Source organism: Homo sapiens, chromosome X, assembly GCF_000001405.40.
Source record: "Homo sapiens chromosome X, GRCh38.p14 Primary Assembly".
NCBI lineage: Eukaryota > Metazoa > Chordata > Mammalia > Primates > Hominidae > Homo > Homo sapiens.
The window spans coordinates 50565539-50585151 of NC_000023.11; the positions used below are offsets into that span (position 1 = coordinate 50565539).

The 19613-nt window shown below is 37.7% G+C and overlaps 1 protein-coding gene across 3 annotated transcripts in view, besides 1 other annotated feature; it reads right to left on the reverse strand.

Annotated features, from left to right (window-relative positions):
* The window catches only part of SHROOM4 (shroom family member 4), a 238661-nt gene continuing 229043 nt past the window's right edge, over positions 9996-19613 (reverse strand). For all 3 annotated transcript variants that reach the window (XR_007068197.1, XR_007068196.1, XR_001755718.3), the window contains one exon: positions 9996-12046. The gene's annotated coding sequence lies outside the window, so the exon portion shown is untranslated. The remainder of the gene's footprint in view (positions 12047-19613) is intronic.
* Positions 15841-16611: an enhancer, noted in NCBI's record as "OCT4-NANOG hESC enhancer chrX:50324379-50325149 (GRCh37/hg19 assembly coordinates)". NCBI's record gives its function as "activates a minimal SCP1, AML or CMV promoter by ChIP-STARR-seq in primed H9 embryonic stem cells {active_cell/tissue: H9 hESC(primed)}" and the evidence as "EXISTENCE:reporter gene assay evidence [ECO:0000049][PMID:30033119]".

A 19613-nucleotide genomic window follows, 5' to 3' on the forward strand; every position in this document is an offset into this window, starting at 1 on the left:
GACAGGTCACTTCACCTCTCTGGGCCTCCAGTTTTTGTATCTGAAAAGTAAAGATGATAAAAATAGACCCTGTCTCAAAGGGTTGCTGTGGAGATTAAATAAGATCATCCATATATAAGCACTTTAACACAGTGCATAGTGTTTAATAAACATTAACTATTGCTTTTAGGGTGATCATTAGCAAGTAGCCACATTACCAGCCTTGCTTAGGCTCATAATCAGCTTCAGTTGCTGATGGTATGAAAAAAAAAAAAAGCAAAACAACTTCCATAACAACAAATTCACCTGAGGTTCATATGCAGCTCATATGCGACTCATATGCATACAGCTGGCCTTTCCCCCTTCCTCCACCCCATTACTAAGACAGAAGAACAGCCTGTTCTCTTGTAACCTGATGTCCCTGGATAAGCGGGAGGGGGAGAGAGGCAACGTGTGATTGCCATGGCCACCCGCTGCATTTCAAGTTCCACAGAGAAGCAGGGTATGGGGGCTTATTCACAATCACCCACAAACCTGGCCATGGGTGCCTTCAACCAGAGTGTGTAGAATACATGTTGTTCCAGTGGCAGAGGCCCATCACAGATGTTCTACTAGGAGGGCAAAGGATGATGTTCAAAGCCATCAGCAGCATACGTGATTCAGACAGCTGGCCAGGTCTTTGGGGCCAGAGATGCGTGGGCTTGCCAGAGTAAGGCAGGATGTGGATAGGTTACTGGAATGGAAACTAGAAACAGTAACCAATGAAAAAACCTAATAAAATGATAAGAATATTAATAACAGCTTACATTTCTTTTGAATATATTGTGTACCAAATGCTTTGTACATGTTTTCATTTAATTCTCCAATGAACTCAGTAGTTCTCAACTTTAGCTATACGTTGGACAAACTTGAAAAAAATCAATGCTCTGGCCCCACCGCACCAATTAAATCAGAATGTCTAGCAAAAAAAAATTAATCTCCCCAGATAATTATAATGTGTAGCCAGGGTTGAGAACCCTCTGTTCACCAGATCTAGGCTTAATGCAGCAACAGCAGTGACATTAGGCCATTATTTCTTTAACCATGGTATGCGTACCACTGGCTGTACACAAAATGATTTAGGAGATAAATGTGAGCATTTTAAATGTCAAAGTTATGTATTCATCTTGATGTATATTAGAAATATACATCTATCTATAATACATATAGCCTATGATTTCACAAACATTGCTTAAACAATGCTAAATTGATTTAAAATATTGAAAAGTGACTTGAGTTAAAGAAATATATGAAATAAATGATAATAAGTTGACATAAGAATATGGCTCCAAAAATTCAGAATGGGATAGATGAATGGCTGAAGAGGAAGAAACACTATCTGAAGTCATTCATTTTTTTCATTCAATAAACATTTACTGGAAAATGATTATGTGACAGATATTATGTTAGACACAATAGACAGATGAGGAAAGAATAAGAAATGGTTCTTGCCTTCAAGGATCTCACAGAAAAGAAAATATACAATGGCAATTCAGTATAAATAAGCACAGGGTATAGTGGGAATGTATGGAGGGGGCAGGTTATGGAGACAGAAGCAGTGGGGATTTAGGAAGATTACCAAGAAAAGGTGGCTGGTCATGTAAAAGGGAGAGGGAGGAAAAGATGATGTCAAGATGAGGGCAGTAGGAACAACGCACAGAAGTGAGAAGCAGCAGGGTGTAAAGATGCAATGGTTGGCTTGGGGGAGGGGTGAAGAAGGGAGTATTCAATTACTAGAGCAAAACATACAAGGCAGGGAAGTGAGGAGAGAAAAGGCCAGAAAGATTTGCCTGAATTGGATTATTGCACTCCAAGAAGAAGGGTTTGAGCTTTATTCTTTTCTTTGGACAGGCTTGACTTTATATCTGGGCTAGAGGGTTAATATTCAAATCCTAGTTTTAGCACTTTTTTTTTTTTTTACTGTGTGTCAGTGGGCAAGTTGCCTAACCTTTCTTAGCTTCAGTTTTCTCATCTGTCAAGTGGAAAATTAATAGATACCTTTCTTAGCATTAAGTGTAGGAGGTTAAATGAGATCTCATTTATAAATCATTTTTCATGGTGCTTGGCACACAAAGTAAGTCCCACTTCTTGTCTGTTCTTCCCTGGCAGAAAAAAAAAGAGCACATCTCTTGTCAGCAGTGTGTGTTTATAATATGAGTCAATCTGTATTACTCTCTCATTTTATCTCTATATTCAATAAACTTTTAAAAAACATCTGCCATGTAGCAGGCCTTTTGCCTATTTTATTTTACTTAATTTGCACAAGGGCCCTGATGACAGGAAGACTGTGCAGTGAAAAGTCCAGTGAAAAGGGCAGGGCTGCTGATGCTATCTTAACTTCAACTAGAACAGCTATGCTTTGGCTCCACAATGCTTAAGGTACAAGGGATTCCACGTTTCTTTATTATTTCTTCATAGATGAAAAAACATCAAGAACTGTTTTCCTGACTCTGGGAGAGAAAAAATAGCTGAAGACATAGGGCCCTATATGCTGAAAATTTGCCCCAGTGACCTCTACTAGCCTGAGAGTCTGGAGGCATTATTGGTGTCTTCCAGAATTTAGCTTCTTTGTCTCCTGATATTCTATTTTTTTTATTTATTGTGGTAAAAAAAATACAACATCACACAAAATTTACCATCTTAATCATTTTAAAGTATACAGTTAAATAGTGTTAATTAGATTCAAATTGTTATGAAACAGATCTCCAGATTCTTTTTTAAATCAAATAGAATACTCTATCAGTATGTTCATTTTGTGGTAATTCACTGGTGTGTAAGTCTAAGATTTGTTCATTTTTTTCTCTAGTTATGTCGTACTTTAAGAAACAGGTTTTTTAAAGTAATGACATTGCATAAAACACCAGTGACTGTTCCAGTTAAGTTATTGGTGAATGATCCAGTTGGCTATAGAAATTAGAGATGGTAAGTTTCTTAAATGTAAAACAAAAACAATATATTTTTAAATGCCCTACACAATTTAGAAGGGGAAAGAAATTAGTTCAATACTAAGACATCTTAACCAGCAGAAAAGAGAACAGAGAGGTCTTCTAGTTCAGGTAAGATGACATACATAGACTCCTTTCTTGTTGCTCCTCCCCACTAGATACAACTATAAATTCTGATAATAAACCTTTTTTTTCCTGTGGGCCTGGAGTACTTGGTGGTTAGGAGGTCACCTGTAAGAGGAATCCCTTCAGAACAAGTGACCCAGCCTGGAAGCTTCTTTGTGTCCTTGGGCCTGAGAAGACCCTCCCCCACACAGACAGGCCAGGTTGCCCTTGGGGTAGGGGGAGTGGATCCTGCACAACATATGGCCAATTGCAGGAACCCTTCTTCCTGGAGACTCCCTTTTCCCACCTAGAGGCATCATAATAACCTAGCCTGGGGAAGCACCTTCTGCCTCCACAGGCCGAATCAGCATAGACCAGGGAAAGCCTCAAAGGCACCACGTAAACCAAGCAGATGAAAGCACAGTAAAAGCTCTGAAAATTAAACTGTCACTGGAACCACAGCACACAAGAGTAGGCCAGGACTTGCATGCTAAACCTAAACAAGGAGACTTCCTAAAATAGAAGATTGACATAGGACTCTCAGACTTTCCTAACTCAATAACAAAAATGTGGATATTTTGTAGAACATATTTTAAAATCACCTGTCATACCAAGAACCAGGAAAATAAGTTGAACGAGAAAAGATAACCAAATGATGCCAATATGGAGATGAATCATATGTTGGAATTATCTGACAAAAGTTTTAAAGCAGTCAGCATAAAAATGCCTCAATGGGCAATTATGAACATGGTAGAAATAAATTAACAAATGAAAATTTCAGCAAAGAAATAGAAATTATATAAAAAAGAACCAAATGCAAACTCAAAAATACATTAATGGGAAAAAACACACCCAAGTAATTATGCTGAGTGAAAGAAACCAATTTCAAAAGGTTATGTACTGTATGATTCCATTTATATGAAATTATTGAAATGACAAAATCATTGAACCTGAGAACAATTTAGTAGTTGTCAGGATTTAGAGTTTTGGTTCAGGAGAGGGAAATGTATGTGGTTATAAAAGGGCAAAATGAGAGATCCTGTGGGATGGAACTGCTCTATATCTTGACTATTGTGGAGGATAAACAAACTTACATATGTATTAAATTGTATAGTGCTAAATACACACACATACATACACATACATAGAAAGGAGTATAAGTAATACCAGAGAAATCTGAATATCAGTGGATTGTATCAATGTCAATATCATGGCTGTGATATTGTACTATTTCCCACTGGGGGAAGCTGAATGAAGGTTCCATGCTCTGTATTATTTATTGCAATTCCATATGAATCTATATCTCAAATAAAAATTTAATTAAAAATTAATCTATATTTTAAGTGCTTAATTAAAATAAAATCGATTCTCTGATTCATGAAATAGAGAAAATAGTATTTTATTGTGAACTATGGCTTTGCTTTGTTTTAGGTAAATGCTAGTGTTGGCATAAATTTGTAAAACATAAGCTTTGTTAGTATATACATATTTTTGAAAGTTACATTTCGGGGCAATTTTGAGGTGTGGAACCTGAAGTTTTATTGCAGGACTTAGTGCAGCTTCAGAATCAGTGCATTTAAAAGCTAGAACAATGTTGGCTTTTAACTCCATATATTAGATTTATCAATTATTAGAAATAAACTGCCATGTATATTCATTTTTAAAGTGCAATAGAATCTATGTGGATTCAATTAGAAAACAAATACATCCTATATGAGCTCTCACTCAGCAGAGTTGGCTAGAAGTCCAATATCAATTTCTTTGTGGGATTCTTTCATTTTCCTTTGATTATATCCAAATCTTGGGGTTTAGGCAGTCTGGGAAGAAAAGAGGAAGGGCCCTGGTTACCAGGCTGTGGCGACAAAAATCTCATTGCTCCTCTTCTAGGCTGGTGTGGTCCATTCATTCAAAGGTGAACTTTGCGATTCCCTGCTAAACTCCCTCTTTGCTGAGTTCTGCAATGGAGACTTTCACTGGGGCACTTCAGGCTTGCCTAATAACCAAGTCTTCACAGAGCTACCACTATCCCAGGCCTGTCACCACCAATGTGTTCTCTATGAACAGAAGCAGAACTAGAAAACTGGTGGTTCTAGTTTGTTTCTTGCCCTGAGGGAAGCTGTACAACTTACCAACTCCCCGCTGCTCTATCTTGGCAACTCAGCCTCATCCCCATGATGAGCTTATAAGAAACTTCACTGTGTATCACGATCACCCAAGAGCTTGTTAAATATGCTACAACCTAGGACCTGCCCCAAACCTCCTGGTGCCTTTGTTTATTAATCCATTTCACTGAAAAAATAAAGAGCAAAGTATTTGGACATTAAATTAGTAGTATGTCACCCTGCCATGTAAATAAAAAATTTTATTTGAAACTGGCTAGCCATATGCAGAAGAATGAAACTGGAACCCCTACCTTTCACCATATACAAAAATTAACTCAAGATGGATTAAAGATTTATTTTTATTTTTTATATTTACATTTATTTTATTTTTCCATAAGTTATTGGGGTACAGGTGGCATTTTGGCCACTTTTTCAAAAATTATAAATAAATTTCAAGGTGGCTACAGCAGCACATTAAACCATGTGCAAGGTCCTTCTAGGCATGGGGCCCTGTGAGACTGCACAGGTCACATGACCATGATGACAGTCTTGAACTTGGCAGAGAGGTCAGGGTGGTAGGTATGGATTTGGGAGTCATTGGCATGTAGACGGTCTTTTACATAATGAGAGTAGAGGAGATTATCTAAGGAGAACTTGTAGAGTGAGAAAAGCAGAGGAGGTTGAAGATAAACTCCAGGGAACACCAGCAGTATAAGAATAAACAGGAAAGAGCTCTCAACAGTGTGCAGGCAAAAGAGGTGGAGGTTAAGAGAACAAATTTTGGATCTAGACTGGATAAAGAAAGTGTGGCACATATACACCATGGAATACTATATAGTCATAAAAACGGATGAATTCATGTCCTTTGCAGGGACATGGATGAAGCTGGAAACCATCATTCTAGGCAAACTAACACAGGAACAGAAAACCAAACACCACATGTTCTCACTCATAACTGGGAGTTGAAAAATGAGAACACATGGACACAGGGAGGGGAACATCACACACCAGGGCCTGTCGGGGGATGGGGGGGTAGGGGAGAAATAGCATCAGGAGAAATACCTAATGTAGATGATGGGTTGATGGGTGCAGCAAACCACCATGGCACATGTATACCTATGTAACAAACCTGCACTTTCTGCACATGTATCCCAAAACTTAAAGTATAATAATAAAAAAAAGAAATTGCCAAATTGTTTTTCAAAGTTACCGTACCATTTTTCATCCCCACTAACAATTTATAAGAATTCCAGTTGCTCTGCATCCTTGTCAGCACTTGGTATTGTCAGCTTTTTAAAAAAAATTTTAGCCATTCTAATAGTTGTATAGTGTTATCTTTTTTGTTTTTTTTTTTTTTTGAGATGGAGCCTCGCTCCGTCACCCAGGCTGGAGTGCAGTGGCACAACCTCTGCTCACTGCAAGCTCCGCCTCCCAGGTTTGCACCATTCTCCTGCCTCAGCCTCCCAAGTAGCTGGGACTACAGGCGCCCACCACCACGCCCGGCTAATTTTTTGTATTTTTAGTAGAGACAGGGTTTCACCGTGTTAGCCAGGATGGTCTCGATCTCCTGACCTTGTGATCTGCCTGTCTTGGCCTCCCAAAGTGCTGGGATTACAGGCATGAGCCACCGCGCCCAGCCGATTTGTCCAATATTTTTCTAATGACTACACTAGAGTTACTGGTTTCTACAGAAGACCACAAAGGTAAAGTGCCATTCTCATAATATCATATCAAGAGTACATACTGTCAACATGATCTTTCACAGTTGATGTTAACCTTGATTACTTAGCTAAAGTTAGTGTTTGTCAGGTTTCTCTACTATAAAGTTATTCTTTTTTCCTCCTTTTTATATCATACTCTTTGGAAAGAAGTCTCTATGCACAGCCCATACTTAAGTGGAGAGTGATGTTCCATTTCCTTAGGGGTGGAGTATCTGCAGAAATTATTTTGAATTCTTATGCATAAAAGATGTCTTCCCCCATTTGTTTATTTGGTAATTTATATCACTATAGACTTATGGATATTTATTTTATACTTTGGCTTATAGACCAATATTACTTTATTTTGTTGCTCAAATCGTTCCAGCTTTGGTCATTTAAAACTCTTTCAGTTGGTATGTATGTCCCTTTAACATGCCCCCATCACTGTGACTTTTTTGAGTACTTCCTTATTTTCTGGAACTACAAGATGCTCCAGGCTTGTCTTATGTCTTTCCTGTCCCAGTCCTAGAATCAGCCATTTCTCCAAGGAGCCTTGGTTCCTTTTATTGGAAAATGATATTAAAAACCAATATCTGGGTTCTAGGTGTGCCTGTTGCTACTACAGTGTCATTGTTTCTAGGCCCTCTCACAGAGCTAGGAAATACATGTATGTATACTAGCCATGGATACACACAATTCTTTCTATATCGGTTTCTATGCTAAGCTAAACATAAATTCATACTGATGTCTCCAACAGTAATAGCAATATTACATGGTTCATTCTAGCCTTTCTCTCTTGCTTATCTGTAATATCTCACTCTAACAGTGAGAAACCTGTTTGCCACCAACCACTTATTTGTTCAATCCTGGTATACATGTACAGTGGTTTCAGAATTGTTAACCTGTGCCCCTGTGAAAAAAACAACTTGTGGTAAAGTGCTTATGTATGGTTCCCATGGTCTTCAGTTTTGTACTTTTCGGCCATATTCAAAGTTACTGAGGTCAGTACTTCCTTTTCCCCAACCCTTCGGTTAAATTGTGCCATATATTTGTAATACAGTTATATTATTTTGTTACAGTCTACATTCCAACCTAAGATCCCCAACTTCCTAGTTGAGTTTTAAAATTTGTATACATTAAGTTTACTCTTTATGTTGTAAAGTTCTACGAATTTTGTCAAATGGGTAGTGTCATGTATCCATCAGTACAGTACCATATATAATATATTCATATGGTACATAAATCCCCTGTGATTCACTTAACCTTTTCTCCTCCCCAAATCCCTGGAAACCACCCATCTGTTTTCAGTCTCTACAGTTTTCCCTTTTCCACAATGTCATATAAATGCTGTGTAGTATATAGTTTTCTCTGACTGGCTTTTTAAACTTAGCATATGCATTTAAGATTCATCCATGTTATTGCATGATATCTCATTCCTTTTAATTGCTAAATAATGTTCCATAGTGTAAATGCACTACAGTTTGTTTATCCATTCGCCTTGAAGGACATCTTGGTTGCTTCCAGTTTTTTGTAAGTAGGAATAAAGCTGCTATAAACATTTGCACTGAGGTTTTTGTGTGGACATAAATTTTCAAGTCAGTTGGCTAGTACCTAGGAACATGATTGCTGGATCATATGGCAAGACTATTTTTATCATTGTAAGAAACTACCAAACTGTCTTCCAAAGTAGCTGTATCATTTTGCATTCCCAGCAGCAACGAATGAGAATTCCTGTTGTTCCACATCCTTGCTAGCATTTGGTGCTGTCAGTGTTCTGGATTTTAGCCATTCTAAAAGGTGTGCAGTGAACAATTTTGAGTTTTTGTATAAATAATCTCATTGTCGTTTTAATTTGAAATTCCCTGATGACATATGATGTTGAGCATCTTTTCTTATGCTTACTTGTCATCTGTATATCTTCTATGATGACTTGTCTGTTAAGATCTTTTGTCCATTTTTAAATTGAGTCATTTGTTTCTTATTGATGAGTTTTAAGAGTTCTTTATATGTTTGGATACAAGTCCTTTATCAAATATGAGTTTTGCAAATATTTTATATATACTGTCTTTTCATTCTCTTAATATTGTCTTTCACAGGGAAGAAGTTTTTAATTTTGGTAAGGCCCAATTTATCAAATTTTTTCTTTTATAACATGTGCTTTCGGTGTGGTATGTAAGAACTCTTGGCCTAACCTAAGGTCACAAAGATATTCTGTTTTTTCTTCTCAAAATATTATAAATTCTACATTTTAAATTTAGCCTTAGGAACCATTTTGAGTTTATTTTTGTGTAAAAATAATTCGGGTTCATTTTAAAAATATATGGATGTCCAAATATTCCAGCACCATTTATTGAAAGACTACCTTTTCTCTTGTTTCCTTTGAATTTTTGTCAAAAATCAGTTGACTCTATTTGTGTTGGACTACTTCTTGGCCTCTATTTTTTCACTTGATCTATGTGTCTATCCTTCTGCCAATACAATAATTACCTTTATTTTTTATAGCAGGATAATAAGCCTTAACATCCAATAGAGTAATTCCTCCAAATACCACACTGTGTTGATATAGTTAATAGTAAGTCTTGAAATAAGATACTACGAGTCCTCCAACTTTATTCTTTTTGAAAATTATTTTGGATATCCTAGTTCCTTTGCCTTTCAATATGAATTTAAGAATCACCTCGTTAATATCTAGAAAAAAAATCCTGCTGGGATTTTAATTGAGTTTGCATTGAATTTATAGATCGATTTTGGGATAATTAATATCTTAACAATATTGAGTCTTCCAACATATGAACATGGTTCATATCTCCATTTATTTAGTTTGTCATATCTTTCATATATGTTTCATAGCTTTTAGTATACATATCTTGAACACTTTTATTAGTTTTCTACCTATTTCATTTTTTCTGGTATAATTGAAAATTGTACTTTTAAAAAAAACTTTCGATTTCTAATTGTTCATTGCTGGTATACAGAAATGCAATTAATTTTTGTATATTGACCTTTTATTCAGAGACCTTGATAAACTCATTTATTAGTTTTAATAGTTCTTTTGTAGATTCCATGGAATTTCCCACAGAGACAATTTTGTTGTGTATAAATATAGTTTTATTCCTTCTTTTATATTCTGTATGCCTTTTATTTTTCTAGTGTTATTGCGCCAGGTAAGATTTCCAGCATGATATTAAATAGGAGTGGTGAGAATAGAGATGCTTGTCTTTTCCATAGTCTTAAAGAAAAAGCATTCAATCTTGCATATTAAGTATGATGTTAGTTGTAGATATACTGTATTAGATTAAGGAGGTTCCTTCTATTCCTAGTTAGCTGTGAGTCATTTTAAAAAAGTTTGATTGAGGTATAATTTACATTCCATGAAATTCACCTATTTAAATAATTTCTAGTAAATGTATAGTTATGAAACCATCAAATCCAGTTTTAGAACATTTTCCCCTACCCGCAGTTCCATGAATCCTCAATCCCAGGAAACCTACTTTCATTGTCTTTTCCTGGACATTTTATATAAGAAGGGAAACACTGCCTTGTATTCCTGTATTTGGTCACTTTTTGTGGGGGGAATCACCCCCTTTCAGTGCCGCTAGGCCTTCCAGTGTCTTTAGGTGGGCGAATAGAGTTTCCAATCCATAGAGTACAGAAAAATGTTTTCCAGGCAGGACAGCTTGTTGTGGTGGGGTCACCCTGCTTGTACCACTGGGGCCATTGGGTGTCTCTAGGTGAGAAAAGAAACTCTCTGGCCCATAAGAATGAAATGCACTTTCTCTGGTCACTTATCATTACTGGAGCTCCTACTTGATCACCAGTGCCACTGGGCCCAACTGGAGTAATTAGCAGGACTCCCAACTGATCTGGAGAAGGCATGAGCCTACCTGAGTAACCTTTATCTGATATGTCAGGGTCAGGAGATTCCAGGCCTAAATGCCTTCTGTTGCTGGGTGAGGGGTGGTAAGACACACAACTGCTATGTTGCTCTTCCAGTACTGGGGTCCCTAGCCAGTCCATCTTCCTCTTTCCACCATTCAGAGTCCTCCTACGGTTGCTTCTTGTGTTATGTCATAGTTATATTTAGCAAAGAGAAGCAGAAAGAGATGAGTTTATGTCCTCTTGTCTGGATCAAAGTCCCTAGACCATTTACATTTTAATGTAACTATATATGTCTGGATTTAAGTCTTCCATTTTGTGTGTGTGTGTGTGTGTTTGTGTGTGTGTGTTCTGTTTGTTCCCTCTGCTTTTCATTTCTCTGTTTTATTTTTCCTTTGGATCACTTCAATATTTTTAAAAAATCGGTTTTGATTCATCTGTAGTGTTCTTGAGTGTATCTTTTCATATAAAATTTTTAGTGGTTGTAGGCATTACATTATACATAAATAACTTATCAATGTCTACAGACATTTTAACGGTTTGAGTGAGGTATAGAAATCTCATATCCTCTTAAATTTCTATTCTTCCCCCATTTATAATTTTCTCAAATATTTCCTCTGTATACATTAAGAACACAATCAGACAATATTATAATTTTTATTTAAACTATCAAATGTAATTTAGAAAACTTAAGTGGAGAAGGAAAGTCTATTGCATTTACCCATATTTTAACTCTTCCATTGTTCTTTCTTCTTTTCTGATGTTCCCAAATTCGTTCTTTTATCATTTTTTTCATGCTTCAAGAACTTACTTTAGCCATAGCAAAGGTATATTGGTGACAGATTCTTTTAGTTTTCCTTTGTCTGAGAATGTCTTGATTTCCACTTATTTCCTAAGAAATATTTTCACTGGACATAGAGATTAGCCTATAATTTTCTTTTTTGTCATTTTGTTGTCTTCATTTTCCTTTGAAGTAAGACTCAAAGCCCTTGCAGGGCTACAGTCTAGCATAACACTAGATTTGTAATACTCACTATTCTATGTTTTATTTTAGAACTGTTATTCACATATGAGAGGGTGCCTCTGAAGTTGTGCAAAATAAACAGCCAATTGCTGAAAGTAAGAGGAATTGGAGAGGTTTAAGGAATACAAGTGGAGATTTTAATAGGCACTGAAAGAATGGGAGAGGGAACTGACAAGTAAAATGATGGCTGAGTGATGTTGAGGGTCCAGCTGAGAAAACAAGCCATCTCTTTGTAGTGGCTTCAATCTGCATAGCTGGGTGGTTTTCTTTTGCAGCCTGAAATAGAGGGTAGTTGGAAGCAGCAGTGAGAGGATAAATTTAAGGAAAGCTTTAAAAGTTTTGTTCTTGTCTCTCCTCCAATTGCCTACCTACATTATCTACCCTTCACTACAGAAATCGGCAGAAATATCTCCAACCATAGTTACCAGTGTATGGAGGGTGTATCAGAGTATATCAGGGCAGCAAAAAAGCCCTGCTTGGTTGAGTGGGAGGCTGTTGAAAACAGATAGGGACTCCCCTGCTCCATTGTTCATTCACTCCTCCACACTTTTCAAATCCCCAAAGTTGATGAGTTACAACCTGGGACACTGATACCCCCCCAGCACTGCTTCTTTCAAACAAGTTTTAAGATGAAGCCTTGATCATATCAGTTGCTTATAGAGTGGCAGCAAATGGGAATTATTAACATGTTCTGAGCTACCTGGGGCTCTCCTTTCCTCACTCTTCAAACACAATGAGGCTGACATAGACTAATACAGAGAAGGTAAAGTGCATGCACACATACACGCACACACACAATCACAGAACTTAAACATAAACTTCTCAAAGTTTCCAGAGAGAAAAATCAAGTCCTCTACAAAGAAAGGAATTAAATTGACAACAGACTTTTAGCAACATTGAATACAAGACAATATTTTAAAGGACTGGACCTGTAATGCTTAAAATGACTTTGAACCTATAATTTTATATTCAGCCATTTTTAAATTAATTAATTTATTTATTTTTATAAATTTTTTGAGACGGAGTCTCGCTCTGTTGCACAGGCTAGAGTACAGTGGCGTGATCTCGACTCATTGCCACCTCCACCTCCCAGGTTCAAGCAATTCTCCTGCCTCAGCCTCTCGAGTAGCTGGGACTACGGTGCGTGCCACCACGCCCAGCTAATTTTTTGTATTTTTAGTAGAAACAGGGTTTCACCGTGTTAGCCAGGATGGTCTCCATCTCCTGACCTCATGATCCGCCTGCCTCAGCCTCCCAAAGTGCTGGGATTACAGGAGTGAGCCACCGTGCCAGGCCAGTTTTTGTATTTTTAGTAGAGACAGGGTTTCACCATGTTGGCCAAGCTGGTATTGAACCCCTGACCTCAAGTGATCCACCCACCTCGGCCTCCCAAAGTGCTGGAATTACAGGCATGAGCCCCTGTGCCCAGCCCATTTTTTAACTTAAATGTAGCATAGTAATAAATATATTCTGTGGCATGCACTATCTCAGAAGGTTTGTCACACAAAGACCCTCATTGAAGACAATTTTGGAGGAGGTCTTCAAATTAGAAAGGAAAAAAATACAGGAGATGCTGCAAAGACATGGGGAGTAAGGGCAAGTATACACTGGTAGTATAGTTTATTGCTGACTTGATAATTAAATACTGAGCAGAAAAGAAGAAAAAGTGTATATCCATAGTAACTCAGAACAGATATTTTTAAACATTATCAAAGTGATGGGGAAGGTGTGGTGGAACTCAAAAAACATGAGAACATTTTCAAGTACTTGTAATGTTAAGAGAAAAATGTAGATACTGATAAATTTAAGAAACTAATATGGTTAAATTAACATGGGTATTTGTTAGTTAAGGGCAACTAAAATAAGAACCAAAATGGCAGTTATAACTTGTAAACCAGAAGAAGAAAATTCATCCTATTTTGTAGAAAATAGGAAAGAAGAAAAATATAAGTGATTCAAAAATGATTTACAGTGTGGATTTCCTCTAAATGTTGAAAACATCCACTATGTGTCCTGGGTGACAGTGGTTGAAGCGAAGTAGAATTGAGGCATTCAACAGAACTGAGAAGTTAAGGTGTTGGATGACATGTCTGCATGGATACCATTACCAGAGCTGAGAAAAGTTTATCCTCCTTTAAGACTTCTGTCTTTGTATTTTCCTCCCCTCTATCCTCTTGGCAAAACCCTATAATTTATGGGGAATGAAAAAATTAACAATTTTAATCGGAGAGGGCTGTATGGGAAGTAGAATCTTCAGTGGAGTGCCAGGTCTCAATTACAGATGTGCAGGAAATGTTCAAATAAGAGGGACAACATTTCTGTATATTTTCATAGGCTGAGCTTATTTTACTGTGCAACAGGGCACCCGGGAAAACTGTGGAAAGGTTTAAAAAGAGGGGATTCTGTGATGGAAGATAACTGGGGAAGGAATTCATGATTATATTATGAGAGTAGGAAGAGGATAGGTGATAGTGTGAGGAGGTGCTTGCCTTTGGGTGGTGTCTAGGGATTACAAGGATAAAAAGCATAGATAAAATTGGCTGCACACAAAATCCCCAACATTACTTCACATTGTTTTATATCCAGAATGAGCTGAATTGTTAGATGATAAACAACCAGCACCCCTAACATTGTCCCACCTCCTCACTGTAGTTTACTTGCTGTGTTCAAAGCAGAGATAAAGCCTCCTCCAGTCCCCATTCTTCCTTTCATCTCTTTTCTTCCTCTCCCATCTCTCACTTCTCCCTCACATCCCCATATCACATCACTACTTACTGCCTCTGGACAGTTCAGTGGCTAGACAAGATTACACCTAACGTAACCATTGGACAACTCATAGGACTTTAGACAAAGGTTGCCACCTTGTGGTCAGAGGCAAAAATAACCAAGGGTCTTGGGTCACCGACTTGAGTGTACATCAGAATCAGCTAGAGGGCTTGTTAAAATAGAATGCTGGGCCCCAATCCCATATTTGCTGATTTAGTAGGTCTGAGTTGGGACTTAAAAACTTGTATTTCTAACATATTCCCAGATGATGCTGCCATTGTTGCTTCAAGGACCACACTTTGAGAACCACTGCTTTAGACAAATCTTTTTCAGGATAGGTAGACCTCCATTTGGTCATCCAAGATTGGTAGAATTAGAGTTTGAACACAAACATGTTTGAATTAATTTTTTGCTACCTTATTATTAGGAAATGCATGTGGTACTGCTTGGGCAACAGCCTCACTTGTTTTCTTTATCCTGGACAAGGTAACCACTAAATAAAGAAAGAAGTGGCATCCATTCTCCCTGCATAGATTGAATGTACCATGGTATATGTAACAATTCCAGTGCCAGGCACAGTGCCTCATGCCTGTAATCCTAACACATTGGGAAGCCGAGGCAGGAGGATCGCTTGAGCTCAGGAGTTTGAAGCTGCAGTGAGCTATGATTATGCCACTGTACTCCAGTCTGGGCCACAGAGTAAGACCCCACCTCAAACAAACAAACAAACAAAAAAACACCCAATTCTTTTACTGTTGGACATTTAGGTTATTTCCAAATTTTCACAATTGTTAAACAAATTTAAAGTTAACTCTCTTGTTCCAAACCCTTCTCTTGTCATTTCCTGAATACCATTGATAGAATAACTTTGATGCAATTTAATGATGCTAAAGTCTCCTGAGTGAGGATGGGTAGGATCAAAGGGAATATGGGAGCCAAAAAATCCTATTCCACCAAAAGTACTACTATAAGCAAAACTGGACACAGGCTCCTGCTCTCTTGGAGATTACAGTCTAGCACAGGATTCAAATATTAATCAGCTATTCATACAAGTAAATATAGAGTTGTGGATGTAAAAATGCTGTGAAGGAAAGATCAACAGTGTGGTAGGCAGTGTGATAGTACTTGGGAATTTTGTTCCCAGATTGTAATAATAAACTTTTAAAAATTGGCTACTAACATTTTAATAATAAATTTGTTATGATTAATATTTTGACATATTTTCAAATTTATGCCTGTATACTGGAATTTCAATATATAATGAGGATTTTTGGATTTGGGCTTAGTTTTTGCTTAATCTTGATTTTGATACCTAGCTGTGGGGGTTTGTCCTGCAGACCTTGACTTAATGATGGATGAATAACATATACTGACACAGATATTTTGCCTGTCAGTCCGGCTGAGGGTCTGGGCCACTTATAGACACCAAGGAGGGTGGTGTAAAGAGTTGCAGCTGCAGCCCTGACTTGCTGGCCCTACTGGCATTTATTTAGCACACATTAAATGACAAAGGCTTTGGGTCAACACCATTAGAGGGTAATTAACCTGGTAGCCTTCTCCCTGAGAGAGCCATCCTGCCCTTGAATGATCAAAGGTTAGTTTTAGGACCACATGAATAAACAAGTTATTTAGATAAACTCCTCTACATTCCTATGTATCTATGCCCTAAGCTTTTAAGAGAATTCAGCTGCCTTCAGCCAAACACTACTGAAACCATGCAAACCCCCAGGCCTTCCAAGAGGGTTTGTGTTTATTTCCTATAATTTCACAATTTCTCCCACCATCCTGACTGAACCCCTACACCTAGCCAAGCATCATTTGGCTAAACCGCAGATTAAGTGAACCTCTACCACATATCTTATACCACTTTGCCTCTCTGTGGGGGAAAATTTTTCAGGTGGTCTTTATGATCCCCACCTCCTGGTGTTCACACCCCTGTATAATCCCCTCCCCTGGAGTGTAAGTGGGAAGTGTGGCTTGATTCTAAACAATAGAATATGGCAAAGGTGATGGGATGTCACTCCTGTGATTACAATATATGACTCCATCTTGCTAGCTGATTTTAGAGTCTTTCTCTCTCCATTGCTTGTTTGGAAAAAGCAGCCAGCCATAAGTCTTAAAGCCACAAGGAAAGGAACTGCTCAGAACTAGAGTGAGCTTGGAAGTGGATCCTTCCCCTGTCAAGCCTCTAAATGAGAGCCCAGCCCTGACCAAGACCTTGATTGCAGTCTTACAGAGGACCCAGCTAAGCTGTGCCTTGACGTGAAAAACTATGAGATAGTAAATGTGAGTCATTTTAAGCCATTCAGTTGTGGCATCATAGTAAAGGAATATACCTCCTCAGCACTTCAACCCCTTTGACTTGTATTCAGCATTCTTGGTCTCTCATATGACACTCCCTCTACCCGGATTGTTCCCTCTCCTTCTTCACTTCACTTTTGCCTAGCTAACTCTTTCAGGTTTTAACTGAATTGTTACTTCCTTTGGAAAGATTCTCTTAACTTCCATTTTGGAGATTTTTCTTCCTTGAAAAATTTGGATTGACACTGGTTTTAAGTCATCCTCATAAGATGTGAAAAATTCCCAAATAAGATTTTTTCCTAAAGGAATCATGAAATGATTAACTAAAATTTAATATGTACATAAAGGTTATTTTGGTTACTATTGTGAATGCTAACACCTCAACCAAGTGTATAGTTTAAAATTATAATATACTTGAACCTCTATTATTTAAAGTTTTCAAAGACTGTCTCAAAATTGATATAATATTCTCCCTAAGGTTATTTAGTGAGTGTATGCTCTCATAATTTGTATTAACTACCAATCTGCTTCCATATTTAACTATTTGGAAGTTAAGTTTTATGGAGATAAATTTAAGAGTTCTTACAATCAGCATTATTGTATTTTATTCTTTCAAAGATACACATTTATTTTTCAACGGATTGACAGAATTAAAATATATAGAACATAAGAGATTTTCTCCCTAGTTTTATCTAGAATGCTTAACTATGTTTTAAAGTGAATATTAAAATATTAATAACTCCAAATGACTTCCATTATTCATATTACTGTCATTATTATGCAGTAGCCTAGGTGATCACCTGATCATTGATCATGCACAAGTTTAAGAATGTCAGAAATAATGGTTTTGGTAGACTGTATTATTTGTTAAAAATTATTCATTTCGTCCCCACCCTATAGGTAGAGTATACCTTAGTGTCCAATTGTCCTTAGGACTGGCTAGTCAGTGACTTGCTTTAGTCAATAGAATGTAAGTAGATGTGATGTGCAGACTCTAGGATGGCCTCCATGTTCCTCACCTCCTAGTATTCATGCCCTGGTACAATCCTCTCCCCTTGAGTGTGATGGCCCTGTGACATGCTTCTAAATGATAGAATATGGCAAAGGTGATAAAATGTCTAATTTGTGATTATATTACATTCTATATGATCTAGTCTTACTATCAGATTCACTTTAGAGACTCTCCTTACTAGCTTGATGAAGTAAGCAGCCATGTTGCCATATTATAAGGAACTGTGGCAAGGCTTCTAGGAACTCTGAGCAGCATCTAGGAACTGCAGGCAGCCACTAGGAGGTGAGGGTGGCCTTTAGGATCTGAAGGTAGTCTTCAGCTGATAGTCAGAAAGCAGTGCCCTCAGCTCTATGGCCACAAGAAAATGTATCTGCCAACAATATGAGTGAGCTTGGAAGCAGATTCTTCCACAGTCAAGCCTTCAGATGAGATTGCAGCCTGGCTGACACCTTGACTGCAGCTTTGTGAAACTGTTAAGTAGAGGACACAGTTAAGTTATGCTCAGACTTCTGACCCACAGAAACTGTGAGGTAATAAATATGTGTTGTTTTAAGCTACTGAGTTTGTGGTAATGTTATAATAGAAAACTAATACAATGGGCATGATATACCCTACATCAGAGCAGCCACTTAAATATCCTTTCATGGTTTGGCTCTGTCTCTCTTGAGCTTTTGACTTCCAAAAGGAGAAACATGTACCCAAGAGAGTTGCAGATCTTTCATCTTCAGTCCCTGAATCAGAAGATTCATGATGGTACCTGAACCCAGCCAAGGCCAGCAAAGTTGTAGCTAGCCATTAGCCTTCATGTGAGATGAAAAGAAAATGTTTGTTGTTGCAAACCACTGAAAACTGAGGGTCATTGGCTGCTGCAGCAAAAGCTAAGTAATTCAATGCTGAAGAAGATATTTGGCTATTCAGTCTTTAAATATCAAAGCCAAAGCTATAAATGAATCTGAAAAGCAGGTTTGCCCAGATAATGAGGTTGAAGCTGATGTTGGTACATCATTAGGCATAGATGGGCATGCAGAGCCTCACAGGCAATGGAAAGGGCTTTGAAACCTATCAAAATGACCTAGACAGGAGAAGGGGTGATATAATCATATTTGGGTTTTGGCAAGATCACCCTGGCTACAGCATGAACAGTCTACAGAAAGCAAGAAATGGCATAAGAAGAATAGTTAGGCTAATGATGTAGTTCAGAGGATAATAGTTGTGGAAAAATAAGTGAATAGATTTGAGACATATTTAGGAGACAGAATTGATAGGACTTGGTGATCAATTCTATATGGAAGGGGTGAGAAAGAGGAGGATGTCTGGGATTACTCTAGGACTTCTAGCTTTCCTAGTTGGTTGGAGAGGAGTATTAATCACTGAGATATAAAGAACACTAGAGGGAATCAGGTTCGGGAGGGGAAAATCAAATGTTTAATTTTGGATACATTAATATTTGGATTTTGGGGTGTCATTGAGCCAACCAGATATAAAGTTTTGGAGCTATGAAAAAATATGAACTGGAGATATAAATTTGGGAGCCAGCTTTATATGGGAGATTAACTAACCATGGGTATGTATGATTAAGAAAGAGAGTTGGGCAAGAGCATACAGCAAGAAGAGAAGAGGGGCCTAGGACCAAGTTTTAAGAAAGTCCAACATTTAATGATTGTATTGAGGAGGATAAGCCAGTGTAAGATATCACCAGAAATATGAAGCCCACAGCAAAGCCTTCGTGAATTGTTACTACCATGTATTTCTGAGGTGTTTACT